Genomic DNA, 16804 nt, shown 5'->3' on the forward strand with positions numbered 1-16804 from the left:
AGAAAGTACAGTAAACAATAAAAGATGGAAGTTGGGGAGATGAAGTGATAGAGATGGTCTAAGTGGTACACTCAAGAAAATAAGGTCACAAGGTGGGGAAAATGAGTTCATTTGAGTGAAAAAATATAGCATATATTTAATTTTATCCTGAAACTACTCTTGAAAATGAATGTTGAATTTAAATGAAAATACGTGAACATAGAATAAAGAATCCCAACCATGTTTTATGAAGCAAAATACTAGTATACAGCAGAAACTTACTATCTATATGTTTTTGGTGTAAAAACTCTAATTTTTAAAATTTGAATGGTTTAATGAAAAGATTACATAGTATGTATAGGGATCAAAAAGTAAAAAATAAATATCCCCAAAGTAATTCTATGCAACTTTAAGAACGTTTCTAACAAGTAAGCAAACGCAAGCATAAAAATGAACAGTCTGAGTTACAGATAACTCAGACTATGGCTACCAAGACAGATTATTAAAAATAAAATTCAGAACACTGTTAAGTAACTTTATCAAGTATCAATCCTTTCTGTCTTTATACACATCATGCCTAAGATATGACTTAGGAATGTGTGAACGTTCTACTAAAGATAGCTGAACTAGTAGAAACTCCATTTGAGCCATTCATTGGTAACTGATCATATACAGTTTCGAGATATTTCCTATCCTCCTAATCCTTACACCTGTCACTCTTTACATGCATACAGCTTCTTAAGAAAAGATACGTTCCTAAAGTGAGTATCTCTTCAACTTCACTGCAAACCAACCAGGGTCTTGTATGTACTCAATACCTATTTGCTGATTCACTAATTTTAACTTATATGAAAGGAGGAGTCATGAGTTAAACAGTTTAAATTAAAGCAATTATATTTCCTACCTTTAAAGTTAAAATCGATAAAACTAAACAAAACATGATGATCAAAGGAAAACTTCCAAAAAGAGACAACAGGTAATTATGATGGTGAAATTTCATCAAGAGAGTGACAAAGATTTTTTTAACCAAATCTTGTGCTTCAGATGTTTTCCTTTTGTCTGTGGATATGACATGCTTTCACAGAACAAAAAGACGTTTCCTTAGAATTTATTATTTTACGATTTGGAATGATTGAAATGATATGCTAATGGAAGAAAATAAGACTTTTTCTGTATTATTTGCCCCTTACTATATGATATTGTTATACTCTCCTTAACACGTAAAACTATCCACTAGTCATTCTATTTTTTTCAATATCTTGTATCTTAATTCCTAATTAAATGCATCAAGAAAGATTCTCCATTACAATGAAACTCTCATGACTACTTTGTCATTTAGCTTTAATATAAAGACATTTCTCTGATTACCCCAGGATGACAACAGTATTAATATTTTACTAAAAGAAATAAATCTCCATTAAGTTTTTAAAACTCAATCAAACATTAATTGAAATAGGATTAAAATAAGAAATAATTTCAATCCTTCTGACTAAATTGTACTGTTGTTATCTATTATCTACCTCATTTCTGCATTTTGTTTATGTTTTCATTCATCTAAGAAATATGTCAGCAAAGTCTCAGGATACAAACTTAACGTGCAAAAATCACAAGCATTCCTATACACCAATAACAGACAAACAGAGGGCCAAATCACGAGTGAACTCCCATTCACAATTGCTACCAAGAGAATAAAATACCTAGGAATCCAACTTGCAAGGGATGTGAAGGACTTCTTCAAGGAGAACTACAAACCACTGCTCAACGAAATAAAAGAGGACACAAACAAATGGAAGAACATTCCATGCTCTTGGATAGGAAGAATCAATATCGTGAAAATGGCCATACTGCCCAAGGTAATTTATAGATTCAATGCCATCCCCATCAAGCTACCAATGACTTGCTTCACAGAATTGGAAAAAACTACTTTAAAGTTCATATGGAACCAAAAAAGAGCCCGCATTGCCAAGACAATCCTAAGCAAAAAGCACAAAGCTGGAGGCATCATGCTACCTGACTTCAAACTATACTACAAGGCTACAATAACCAAAACAGCATGGTACTGGTACCAAAACAGAGATATAGACCAATGGAACAGAACAGAGGCCTCAGAAATAATACCACACATCTACAACCATCTGATCTTTGACAAATCTGACACAAACAAGAAATGGGGAAACAATTCCCTATTTAATAAATGGTGCTGGGAAAACTGGCTAGCCATATGGAGAAAGCTGAAACTGGATCCCTTCCTTACACCTTATACAAAAATTAATTCAAGATGGATTAAAGACTTAAATGTTAGACCTAAATCCATAAAAACCCTAGAAGAAAACCTAGGCAATACCATTCAGGACATAGGCATGGGCAAGGACTTCAAGTCTAAAACACCAAAAGCAATGACAACAAAAGCCAAAACTGACAAATGGGATCTAATTAAACTAAAGAGCTTCTGCACAGCAAAAGAAACTACCATCAGAGTGAACAGGCAACCTATAGAATGGGAAAAAATTTTTGCAATCTACTCATCTGACAAAGGGCTAATATCCAGAATCTACAATGAACTCAAACAAATTTACAAGAAAAAAACAACCCCATCAAAAAGTGGGTGAAGGATGTGAAAAGACATTTCTCAAAAGAAGACATTTATGCAGCCAAAAGACACATGAAAAAATGCTCATCATCACTGGCCATCAGAGAAATGCAAAGCAAAACCACAATGAGATACCATCTCACACCAGTTAGAATGGTGATCATTAAAAAGTCAGGAAACAGGTGCTGGAGAGGATGTGGAGAAATAGGAACACTTTTACACTGTTGGTGGGACTGTAAACTAGTTCAGCCAAAGTGGAAGACAGTGTGGCAATTCCTCAAGGACCCAGAACTAGAAATGCCATTTGACCCAGCCATCCCATTACTGGGTATATACCCAAAGGATTATAAATCATGCTGCTATAAAGACACATGCACACGTATGTTTATTGCGGCACTATTCACAATAGCAAAGACTTGGAACCAACCCAAATGTCCAACAATGACAGACTGAATTAAGAAAATGTGGCACATATACACCATGGAATACAATGCAGCCATAAAAAATGATGAGTTCATGTCCTTTGTAGGGACATGGATGAAGCTGGAAACCATCATTCTCAGCAAACTATCACAAGGTCAAAAAAACCAAACACTGCATGTTCTCACTCATAGGTGGGAATTGAACAATGAGAACACTTGGACACAGGAAGGGGAACACCACACACCGGGGCCTGTTGTGGGGTAGGGGGAGGGATAGCATTAGGAGATATACCTAATGTAAATGACGAGTTAATGGGTGCAGCACACCAGCATGGCACATGTATACATATGTAACAAACCTGCACGTTGTGCACATGTACCCTAGAACTTAAAAGTATAATTTAAAAAAAAGAAATATGCTTTCCACAAAAACATTGATAAAAATAAGACAATTCCTGTTCTTATTATAAGCAATAAACTAGTAATTATAATGTGGCACAATAAGTGCTCTAATAAGGTATGTAGGAGGTGAAGTAAGATAACTAAAGAATCACAGAAAGTTTTCAAGAGCTGCATCTTGCAAAATGAGTACACAAAACAACTGGTTCACCAAACACAGATTAACCACATGAAATTGCTTCTTCTCCCTCCCAAAACCCTACTAAAATAGCAGTTAATAATTTTTTAAGGTGTATTTCACAAGGACAAAAAAGTGGAAGTGGAGAGAAAAACAGAAAGAAGATCACAAATTTTTGGAAAACAGATGAATAACTTATCAAAAGAAGTTACTCATAACAGAACACATCAGAAAAGACACTAAGAAGCAAATCATTCTGCCCACAATCAGGCAATGACTCAACCTCACACATCCCCCTTCTACACTGGTGCTGAATCTCCAACTAAGAGAACTGAGGGAAAAAGAGGGATAAAAAAAAAAAAAAAAAAAAACAGGAAAAGAAAATAATTCAAGATAACATCCCAAACTGAAAGACATTTGCTCTTAAAAGGGTCCTCTGAAGATTCATTTAAAAAAATGAATAAAACCCATTCTAAGACATATTATCATAGAATTTCAGAGATAAAGAAATGATCCTAAAGCCTTCTAGAATATTAAGAACAAGCCATATATAGCCAGGAAAAAAAAAGTGGTGGACAAAAAAAAGTGGCAATGGATTTCTCAGTAGTAACACTGAATGTTGTGAAATGAAGCCTTTAATATCTAAAATAAAATTATCTACAATCTAGAATTCTATATCCAAACCATTAATCAAGTCTGAGAGTAAAATAGAGTTATTTCAACCTTTCCTAGGGCCTATTTCCATATAATGAAAAAGTTACAGAAAAAAAAAAAAACAATGAGTTGGGATCCACGGATATGAACAAAGTAAAGGTATCCAATCTCTGAGGAGATTGCTAAAATGTGGGACAGTGTGACTACTATCTATCCCAGAATTCCTGCCACACTGTCAAGGCATACATACATGAAGTTTGTATAATGCAACAGAGACCACACCCTCCTAAAACAGAAGGTAAATGGAACAGGTAAAGAAATGTAATACAAGAAGTTACAGAGATGTTTTATAATAGATTATTGGAAACAAGACCAGAATAATACTGAACACTGGGCAACATAAAAGTAATTTTAATACACAATTTTAACGCATTTATTATTATTATTCTAAAAAATGAAACTTCAATATTCAAAATGACAATCATGAATTTTTTAAAAATCCTTGTTAATTGATAAAATTTAATGAGATGCACAAATCTTAAATTAACTTTGCTGTTAAAAGAAGTCTTAAAATCCTGCTGTGTATTTGCAATTGTTTAGCTCTCAGTAACTGTATTACTGAACTGAAAATTTTTCAACTAAATATCTACTTAGAAACACTATAAATTAGGAAGTGGAAAGAATATGTGAAGTACATTATACATTAATATTGAGACAATTTATTTTACTTAAGCTTCCCCTCCACACAAATTTCTCCTAAATTATCAGATTCTTCATTTTATAAAAACTTATCAATATTTTTATATAGTGAAGTATTACTGATTTATCTTTGAATAGAGTTTGGTCAAGTAGATATTCAAAAGTTTTGTGGTACTTGGGACAATCTGTAGTCTGAGACTAGCTGACCCTTGCATTGCAGAATACCTAGCATATCTGGTCCCCATCCATTAAATGCCAAAAACACTCTCACAATCGTGACAAGTGAAAACCCCAAACCAATATGTGAAACTTCCTTATGGAGCAGCACCAACCTTGTTTGAAAACTCTTAGTCTAAAAGTCTTACATTAAGAAAAAGCCTGCTAGGGTGTGGAAACAATAGAAAAAAGTCTGAAGGAAACACTTTTATCAGTTATACTAAAAGTTTTAATTTATCAATTTTATCCTCATCTAAATGTTCTTTCTTTAGATGCATTTTTTGGTACTCTGTACTGAGGATGACTTAAAGAGATCTGATATAATCACTCTAGAATATATGTATATTCGCTTTTTTTTTTTTTAAAGACAGGGTCTTGCTATGTCATCCAGGCTGGAGTGCACTGGGGTGATCACGGCTCATTGCAGCCTCAATCTCCTAGATTCAAGCAATCCTCCCTCCTCAGCATGGGACCACAGGTACACACCACCATATCTGGCTGATTTTTTTTATTTTTATATTTGTAGAGATAGGATCTCCCTATGTTCCTCAGGTTGATCTCAAACTCCTGGGCGCAAGTGATCCTCCTGCCTCAGCCTCCCAGAGTGCTGGGACTACAGACGTGAGCTACAGTGCCTGGCTATTCACTTTTTAATAAAAGGCTTTCCTATATATGATCTTTTTAATACTCATTTAGATAGCCAAACTAAAGTCAAATATAGGATCTAAGGCATGTCTTTTATATAATTTGTGTGATATTGTTTTTGTTGTTATTGCTATGTTGTTTGGTTTTTACTGTTTCTATGAACAATATCAGTACTAAGATGGTCAATACTGAGACACTGTATCAAGTCACTGTGGTATTTAGTATTATTAAAGGCTCCTATATATCACTATTATGTAACAGCCTAAGAAATCCCTGAAGTACAACAGGGTCCCCTTTTTTGTTTGCAAACTCTAAATTTAATAAGGATCTATTTAATTAGTCCAGAATTCAAATACATGCCAAATTTTGCAACCACATGGGAGGTAGGCAGAAAGAGATTTGAAACACTTCCATGAGAACAACCTTGATTGCTCTACTAAAACATCAGTGCAGGGACCCAAACTACTTCATATGCTGTCCACAAAATGGATGAGGCATGAAAGAAATCTTGTGTTTACCGTGACCTTTGGCTGTACTTTTACTTGTCATAATTATAAAGAAGCTACTCTGAGAGCCCACACATAAGACATAGTATTACTCTTAGAACTATAGTAAAGTATTTCAGGAAGGGCTTCATACCGTAACTAACTGGAGGCAGAATACATGGGTAGTTCTTTCCTTTTTTGTTAGGTATAATAGGCATTTCTGAACAAAGAAAAAGTTCTCATATTATACATATGAATAAGATTTATTGCACAAGAATTTTTCCAATTGTTTAATGCACATTCAAGTACAAATACGCCACTCTGGTTACCTGGTTCAACTTAACAAGTCATGTATGTTCTAAACACAAAAACTACAAATTAAAATTGTGCAATGTAACTATGACTTTAATAATGTAATTTGCCATGTCAGATAAATACATATCAGGAGGAAATTCAAAAGAAAACTATAGAAAAAAATTAACTTACTCTCATCTAGAGATTTCTATTTTCCCACACAGAATTTCACCAAGGAAAAATAGTTGTTTTCGGAAATGTTTTGGCAAAACTGCCAACTTTATCAACATATGTGACATGTAACACGCTTTTAAAGAAAGAAAAGACCACTGGATCATCCAACATGAAATTATAAATTCTAAAGGCATAACAAACAGGATTAGATTTCACGAAAATGTCAAACATACTACAAATTAGAACATGGGTCTCCAACCCCCAGGCCATGGATTGGTTCAGGTAGGTGGCCTGTTAGAAGCCAGGCCACACAGCAAGAAGTGAGTGGCAGACCAGCCAGCAAAGCTTCCTCTGTATTTACGGCCGCTCCTCATCAGTCGCATGACTTACCTGAGCTCTGCCTCCTGTAAGATCATCAGCAGCATTAGATTCTCATACGAATGCAAACCCTACCGTGAACTGCGCATGCAAGGGAGCTAGGTTGCCTGCACCTTATGAGAATCTAACTAATGCTTGATGATCTGAGGTGGAACAGTTTCTTCTGGAAACCATCCCTACCCTTCCCCCCACCGTCCATATAAAAATTGTCTTCCATGAAACCAATCCCTGGTGCCAAAAAGGTTGGGAACTGCTGAATTAGAAGATTTACAAGGCAAACGAAGCACAAAAATTTCTTTAACAGGGCAGGTGTGATGGCTCACTGCTGTAATCCCAGCATTTTGGGAGGCCAAGACAGGAGGACTGCTTGAGCCCAGGAGTTCAAGACCCCATCTCTAGAAAAATAAAATAAAATAAAATTTTTGAAAAAAACCTGTAATGCTTTATATGAAGAAAAACTTTAGAACTATCCATTAAAGTATGATCAACTTTGCCATACCTATCGTTCTGCTCCCAAAAGTAATCATCTTTTACTGTCACCTTGAAAATAGGTTCCAAAAGCCATAAAACATCAGAGTTATCATTTACTAAAGTCAATTACAAAATGCCTATGTTGGCTAACATAAATACTTGTCACAAGAGAACTTAGTTTAATCATAAAGAAAACATTCTTAAAGATATTACACATGAATTAAGACTCCTGTTAAACATACACTTTACAAGACTATTAGAAATTACTCAATGGAAGTTCAGGTACCACCACAGGTCCCCATTTGACCAGGAAGGTCCCAGTTCATACCTGTTGTCGTTACATATTACAGTATACTCTTTCATTCTCAAAACTCTCCTGGATTATAAGATAAATTATGTCATTAACCTAGTTATTAAAATATTTCCTATTAATAAATCGTGTTCCTAGGATTTTATGTTGTAACATTATTTACTTGAAAAGTCTTTCTAACTTAAAAACTTTTAGTGATTCATATAGTACCCTACCGGTCACATAGATGCAGTCAGTTACTTATGGCATTCATACCAATATCACCCAAACTCCGTTGCCGTCTAATTCATCTGTTCTCAGAGGTGCTCTGAATATTTAAGACCCAGGATGGAGGCTTCCCTCTGTCTTAAAGTAGAAAACAGGTTGGAAAGATCTTTTCCTCTTAGTCTCATACTAATTCAGAACATCTTTCCTTACTTTTTAAGGTTCCCCAGAATATTTTAAATAATTACATCTAAAAGTTTAGAATTATAATTGATTGCTTTCTTGTCCTTTTTATGCACATGTTAAAATGCTTAACTGTGTATTAAAGACTATATTTGGGATTAATAGTGTTTGTGGTCATTTCTATAAAAGCTCAGGCAACAAGCACTTAATCATTCTTTTAACAATATGTACATGTGTGACCCTGATAACATTATTTTTTTTAAGGAAATTAAATTTTACCTAATAGAGCCCTGGAAATGGCCTTGGGCTTAAGAGTCAAAAGACCTGATAGGAGTGTTGCACATCCACGAGGCAAACACTATCCCCAAAGCACAAATTCTTCTTTTGTATGTAATTTTTCCTCAACAATACAGTATTATAAGAAGAATTAAATCAGAAAATTCAAGAGGCTCAAGTACTTGTCTGCTGTTTAAGAAAGATGACTAAATGTTATACAAAACGAATATACTTTGCAAGTTAAATATTTAGAGGAAAATACCAGTACTCTCTAAAAAAAGTAAAACAACTTTGGTTAAAAACTACGGAGTACTATCTATGTGTACAAAACTGTAATGGGCTACACAGAAAGGCCTTTGAGTCAGAGTAAATGAGTCCTAATGCGAGCCCCACCACTTTCAGCTGTGTGGCAATCAGCAAGCTACTTAACATCTCTAAGTCTCTATTTCTTCAACTCGAAAATGAACAGTAGTTATATCACTGTGAAGATCAACGAATAATCCATGTAAAAGATATGAGCTCTGTATCTGCACATAAGAAATCAACAATGCTAAGTATTATTATAAAAGTCTACATTAATGTCTCTTTTCAAAAACAAGTCCTAAAAAGTTATTTTGATGTCATAAGAAAATTTCACATGTGCATGTGTGTCTGTGCACATATCTGTGTATCTTCCAAGGAAAGATCACTTAGATGACACAGCTAGCACTCCCCAAATATATGTTAATAATAGGGGCTGGGTAGATTATTCAATACTGGAGAAGGAAGCTTTTTTTTCTTTCTTTCTTTTTTTTTCAAAAGAAGACCACATTGGCATTACTGAAGCACATTTAAAAAGAAAATGCCATATCTAATAGTATCTGTGGTTGTTCATCTCCAGAAAAGACACAGATATGTATGACACACACATTTCTAAATCCATGTATATAAATCAAAGGAAAACACTTCCTTTAAGGCAAGCATATGAAGATACTAAAGGAACATTCCAATTAAATATTCATATATTCAATATTTCAAAATAAGAAATTTGGATATATGTATGCATAATTTACAATTTTATAGTGAAACCTGTCTACAGAGGCCATTTTCACTATATTTCAGTAGCATCTCAACTTGAAATGTACAATGCAGTTTCTCTCTGAAGTGTGAAAACTGTAAAGTACATACTAATTCACTGCAAGCAAACACAAAATAAAGACCATGTTGTGCATATGGCACTCACCCGAATGACTACTTTAACCTATTCATTAAACCCTTTCAATAAGAGAGCCCTAATAACTGCTCTATGTTACGAAATAGAATCAGAAATGATCTTAAATTTGATTAAAAATAGAAACTTCACACAAGAGAATTATTAACTAAGTCAAAGAAACTACAGCTTGCATTTATAAAGCTCTTTGTCCATTTTCATTCATTAAATATAAAAATTTCCATAAGAAATATGTCATTATGACTGACATACACAATTTATATAGAAAGATTTATATAAACAGCCTGATGTTTTCCCAATACAAATATAAGGTGGATTTAAAAAAACAAAGATTACAGCAGTCAAATTTATTCGTCAAGAATCCAAATCTGAGTTGGACTTCATTTCTCTGAACTGTCCTAAAAACATTCCAGTAGTAGAACAGATTTGCCATTAAAATAAAATAACCAAGACTTATTCATTTTAAAACAAGTAAAAAATGCAGATCTGTTCTTTAAAGACACAAAGGGTAATGCAGACTGAGGTTTACATGTTCAATCACTGTTTATAAATGATAGGCTATATCATTAATTTGTAAGTGACTCTAAAATGAGTATGCACATAATACACAAACATTCTACCACTGGTAACTCTAAATAGGTAAATTTAAAGCTAAAAAAAGCTGAAATTTTATCTCTGCCATAAATTTAAAAAAAATCCATGAGCATTGCAATGACTATACTTTTGCCTTAGAGCTGATACTTTAATTTTCAAGAACCACAAAGAAAAAAATCAAAACTAGTCAGTAACAATGCAGCGTCTAAAAGCAATAAACTCAAAATTAACTTATAAATAATTTAAAGGATGTCGTGAAGATGTATTAATAATTCATCAGATAAATAATTTACTAAATAATCAAATAAATAAATAATGAAATACATAAATAAAACAGCAAATAAATAATTCTGCAAAATAACCTAAATAATAAGTCACCCAAACATATCACAACCTACAAAGCTACAATGATTTTCCGGATTTTGATAATTTAAATAAGCAAATGTACATAAGTTAGATCAATCCTTGTTAGAATTAGAAATATTTTTCAATACTATTGGTAAAATCCTCATCTCAATACATATGAACACATTTTCAATGTTTAAAAGACTGCATAGGATTAGTTCTCATACATCATTAATATAATTATAATACAACTGCCTTGATATTATATATATCTTTCTCTAACATATTTTCCCTCAAACAACTGGACACTCAAGACATTCTTAACTTACACTTCTTTTTCAAAGAAATACCTACAATATAATAATGCTACAGCCTTTCTGACAGTTTTCCTATCTTCACCAAATCTTTAGAAATTTTCTGCAGGAGAATAATAAGAAGAGCCTTAATTATTACAGATGGCATTTCATTCACTAGTGGACAATGTTTTACAATTCTAAAAATAATGGGAAGTCGACATTATTAGTCATAAACTATGTCAAGATTTTTAGAAGTCTTCAGTGGACTAACTTCAACTTGACAGTATCCAACTTTCTCTATTGGGGCTGACACACAAGCTGTTACAATTGGCGGGATTTCAGACGTGAAAGACAAAAACTTCAAAGGACAAAGTGATTGGCTGACATCTAATGCTATCTTCAATCTGGGAAGCTCAAAGTCCTTGAAAGAACACGATGAGATCCCTTAACTGTTACAATCTGAATGTAGTCACAATCTAATTAGGGTACCATAAAGGGTCAAAACACAACTGACCTCATAAATCAGCCTTCATTTAACAAAGGTTTTATCTACCCATAGTATAGCATTCTTTATATCCTTAAATAGTAGATCCCAAGTTATGATAGCTGTTCCCATAGAAATAATAACTTTGTGATAGGTTTTTGACACACTGAAGGGACTACATTAAAACAATATAGTACGCTTGAAGAGAAGGAAATTAACCTAATTTACTAATTAATTAAAGTGTTTTATATAATTTATCTTAGTGAATTCTCACAACAATCTTTCAAGTTAGGTAACATTTTACCTATTTTTCAGTGAAGGAAACTGAGGCCCAGTAAAATTATGTATACTGCCTACAGTGCCCAAGTGGCAGGAAAGATCCACATTTTGCCTACACAATCTTCAGTGGGAAGATTCATTAAGCTATAGAGCCCTTAAATTTAGGCCAAACCTGAAAAATTTAGAAAATTCTAAAACACCTATATTGTTAAAGCATGGGTTCTCAACTAAGGGTGACTTTGTTTCTTAAGGGACATTTGGCAATGCGTGGAGGCATTTTGTGTGTCACAACTAGGGAGAATTACTGACATCTAGTGGGTAGAGGTCAGGGATGCTGCTAAACATCCTACAATGCACAGGATGGCTCCTACAACAAGGAATTATCTAGCCTAAAATGTTAGTAGTGATGAGGGTAGGAAACCCTGAATTAAAGTAACATGTATGGTTTTCCTATTACAAAATAATATATATTTGGTTAATAGATGTAGAGTCTTTTTTCTATGTATAATATGTATAGTGAAATATCCTGGATAAAAAAAGTGTATCCTTGGGAGACCGGGTATATGGGAACCCTTTGTACTTTCTGCTCCATTTTTCTCTAAAGCTAAAACTGCTCAAAAACTATCTTATTTTTTCAAATATGTATTCTTCACTTATATGACTAAAGTTATGATTACCTTTCTTAGAATCAATATTAAACAGTAAGTCTACAGTCATAAAAAATGTTTTCTAAAAATTTCATATATCAAAATGTTTTCAACAAGTTAATATGAGAGCATTAAAAGCTAAATTTAGCCAGACATGGTGGCTCACACCTGTAATCCCAACACTTTAAGAAACCAAGGAATGACAAAAATGTATGTTTCCTTATATTTGACCTGTTATATTATCATATAGAGGCTTTAAATAATAGTATACTTTGTCAGCTAGGATTAGGTCACATCCCTCCCAAATCAATAAAAATAATAATCAAATAATAACAAGGAGAGGGGGAAAAAAGGAGGGAGGAGACAAATTTATTTCTCCCATGTAAATGTCCAGAAGAAGAAAATCACAGGCTGATATGGCAGCTCCAACTATAAGGGGCCCAAGTTCCTTCCACCTTTTTGCTCTACCGTACAGTTTCTATTCAAAGTCACCTCATATTCCAAGAAGGCTATGAGAATTGCAGCTAATCTACCTACATTGCAGGCAGCAGGAAGAAGTCTGAAAGGAGAAGAAAAGCCCTCCCTATTCTCTTATCTCACACAATATTCCACCTTATATCTTATAAACCATAAACTTAGCCCTTTGGTCACACTTAACCACTTGGAAGGCCAGGCAATGTAGTCTGTAACACTGTCAATATACTCAGCTATAAAACTGGGATTCTTTTGTAACTAAGGAAGACAGAATAAATTTTGTGAGGTGAATTAAAATAGGCAGACTGCAGTAAAAGTTACAACTCTTCAAAGAAAATGAAAGAGGTACTGAAAGATTTTCATTAGAGAAGTTCACTGCAAATTAATGAAAATGAAGGAAAAGATATTTAACAATAGAAGAATGGTTAAATTTAGGGATAATCTTAGAATCGAATGCTATGATTTCACTAAATATCACTTTGAAGAATTTTACTGATATGGAGAACTGTTCACAGTATTAAATAAAAAAATATAAACTATTTCATATACAATAACCCATTTCATATCAATATACATATATACAAATACATATACTAGTATATATATACACATACATATAGGCCCATCATATAGCTATATCTAGAGAGACTGAGACCATATAAAACTTAAGAAAATAAAAACTAAACTGATACTAGTGGTTTAGCTCTCCTTTGAGGAATTGTAACTAAATTTTACTTTATCCATACATTTCATTAATTTCTAGTTTTTCTACAATGAATACATACTATGTGTATTGATTATTTTTCATAAAAATGTTGGCACAGATGAAGAAGCAATCAGCCACCTTAGAAAAGTGGTTAGGTTCAGGCTTCAATTTATTTTATTACCTAGAATTCACTGATTTAAACAATGGCATGGAGCATCTACATCTGAGCTGTATCTTTACCAACCGGGGCAAAACATAGATGTTTCTCTTTAGGCAGTACTAAGAAGCCAACTTCTCTGTGCCCAACTTGTATTCAACTTACTAGCATTCACATATCACGTTTGTCAGCTTTGCACAAGTCACTCCTAACCAGATGCTACATCCATCATTCCTAACAATGTACCCCGACATATTGATTACTTTGCTCATCTCATTCTGTGGAACTAATCATTTGTCCTTCATGCTTCTACAAATCCTTCCACTTTCTATATTTCTCAGCCTATTTTTAAAATTTCTACCCTACTGTACATTTTTCTGGTTACTTGTATAATGAACACATCTAACATAAATTATATCTTTCTTATATTTTTAAAACTATCTTGAATTGTCCCGAATTTTCCAGAGTTACTACTGGGTACACAGAGAATTGTTATATTGGCATTAATTCCATTGGCTGAAACTCCATAATTACCATTAATAGAGTCTCATAATTTAGAATGCTTCAAAATTTTCCATATTTTCTAGAGTGATTTACTTTCCAAAATCCCCATTATCACCATAAAAGAAATGGAAAAACAAAGGAAAAGACATTCAAAGCTACTAACAAGTGCATGGAGTTGGCCAAAATAGCAAACAAACAAAAAAGTGAAATAGATGGACCCAGTCCTCTAGAAAATGCGTTAGACACTCACAACAAAGTCCGGGCACAATGGCTCACGACTGTAATCCCAGCACTTTGGGAGGCCAAAGTGGGCAGATTGCTTCAGTCCAGGAATTTGAGATCAGTGGACAACATGGCGAAACCCCGTCTATTCTAAAAATACAAAAAATTAGCTAGGCATGGTGCTGTGTGCCTATGGCCCCAGCTAGCCAGGAGGCTGAAGCTGGAGGATCGCTTGAGTTGGGAAGGTCAAGGCTGCAGTGGGCCCTGCCTGGGCGACAGAGTGAGACCCTGTCTCAAAAAAAAAAAAAAAAAAGAAAAGAAAAAGAGAAAAAAGGGAGGGAGGGGAATTCATAACAAAATGTAATAAAAGATAAATGTATAATTCAGACAATGTATACTACAGAAAATCCAGCAGGTAAAAAGTCACATCAGGCAGGGATAATCAGAAATGCCTCTGTGTCTCAGATCAAAATCATACAGGAATACAATAGTAGTTGTCAACTATGGAAGACACTGCCCCCAGGGGACATTTGGCAATGTCTAGAAAAACTTTAGGTTGTTCCAAATGAGAAATATAACTTGCATCTGGTGAGTAGTGGCCAGGGATGCAGCTGAACATACCTAAACCTATCATCCCTAAACATACCTAAACATACAACAAACAGGATAGGACCCCTCCCCCCCAAAAAATCAGTTATTCAGCCCAAAACGTCAACAGTGCTAGAAGGACCAGTATGAGCGAAAAAGAAGAGATAGCATTTAATCAGTATAAAAGGATATGAATAAAAGAATTGTTGCTATAATACATGATGCTTTAATAAGTCATAACATGGCCAACAAAAAAACAGTGGGAAACAAGACTAGAAAACATAACAAGGAGTAGATTGTGATGGCCTATACAAGAATGACAAACCAAAGAAATATGGAAAAATAACCATTATAATAAGAATATAAGAGAACTGAAGCATAAAAATAGCCATATTTTTTTTTTTTTTTTTTTTTTTTTTTTTTGAGACGGAGTCTCGCTCTGTCGCCCAGGCTGGAGTGCAGTGGCGGGATCTCGGCTCACTGCAAGCTCTGCCTCCCGGGTTCACGCCATTCTCCCGCCTCAGCCTCCCAAGTAGCTGGGACTACAGGCGCCCGCCACTACGCCCGGCTAATTTTTTGTATTTTTAGTAGAGACGGGGTTTCACCGTTTTAGCCGGGATGGTCTCGATCTCCTGACCTCGTGATCCGCCCGCCTCGGCCTCCCAAAGTGCTGGGATTACAGGCGTGAGCCACCGCGCCCGGCCTAAAAATAGCCATATTTTATAACAGGGTTCTCCAACCCCTGGGGCCACAGACAAGCAAGCAAAGCTTCATCTGTATTTACAGCTGCTCCCCATTGCTCACATTACCACCTGAGCTCTGCCTCCTGTCAGAACAGCAGTGGCATTAGATTCTCATAAGACTGCTAACCCTTTTGTGAACTGTACATGTGAGCGATCTAGGTTGCGTGCTCCTTATGAGAATCTAATGCCTGGTGATCTAAGGTGGAACAGTTTCATCCGAAAACCATATCTCCACCCCCATCCATGGAAAAACTGTCTTCCACAAAACTGGTCCCTGGTGCCAAAAAGGGGGGACTGCTGCTTTATAAGACTAAATTGTAGATAGACAGGGACACTGCTTTCCAGCAGTACGTAAAGCTAGATATCTTGAGACTATTCAAATCTAACTTTAAAACAGAGGAAAAAAAATCTGTTTAAGGGTTTAGTTAGCAAGAAAGTACAGTATACATATAAGCTATAAATAAAGGAGAAACCTTACAAAACAGTAAGCCAACAGAAGAAACCAGCTCTCATTCTAACGTTGGTAAAACTGAGCTTACATTTTGATGGCTGCACAAGGCTTAGGAAACAAGATTTTAAGGAGTCTATCACAAGAAAACACCTATATAAAGTTGGTGCTCTCAAGGGGTACATCCTCATGTTAACAGCAATGAGGAACCACAAAGATCTCCCTCCTGTAACACCTTTATAGTCACACCGACCCCCGATCCCTGGCACTCCCACCATTCCTAATTCCTGGCAACCATTAATCTGTATTCCATCTCTATAATTTTGTCACTTCTAGAATGTTTTATCAATTCTCCTGCAACTGTAACCACAAAGTGGCCTTCACAAAGGTTCTCACACTAAATTCACACTACTTGTATGATCCAATAAATTTCATAGGAGATCCAATAAATTCCATATTTAAAGCATTCTTAATCTGCTAGGCAGGCAACTGGAGAAAGCACAGGCAAATGCTCCACGAAAGAAAATGACTTCAGGCCGGGCGCCGTGGC

The 16804-nt window shown here is 34.8% G+C and overlaps 1 protein-coding gene across 65 annotated transcripts in view, besides 1 other annotated feature; it reads right to left on the bottom strand.

The window, feature by feature from the left end:
• TBC1D5 (TBC1 domain family member 5) overlaps positions 1–16804 on the bottom strand; it is a 585470-nt gene that overhangs the window by 517587 nt on the left and 51079 nt on the right. The window lies entirely within an intron of this gene.
• Positions 7895–8095: a silencer, noted in NCBI's record as "peak4556 fragment used in MPRA reporter construct". NCBI's record gives its function as "represses an SCP1 promoter by STARR-seq MPRAs in K562 erythroleukemia cells {active_cell/tissue: K562}" and the evidence as "EXISTENCE:reporter gene assay evidence [ECO:0000049][PMID:32103011]".

The sequence above is a fragment of the Homo sapiens genome, chromosome 3 (assembly GCF_000001405.40).
Source record: "Homo sapiens chromosome 3, GRCh38.p14 Primary Assembly".
Classification (NCBI taxonomy): domain Eukaryota; kingdom Metazoa; phylum Chordata; class Mammalia; order Primates; family Hominidae; genus Homo; species Homo sapiens.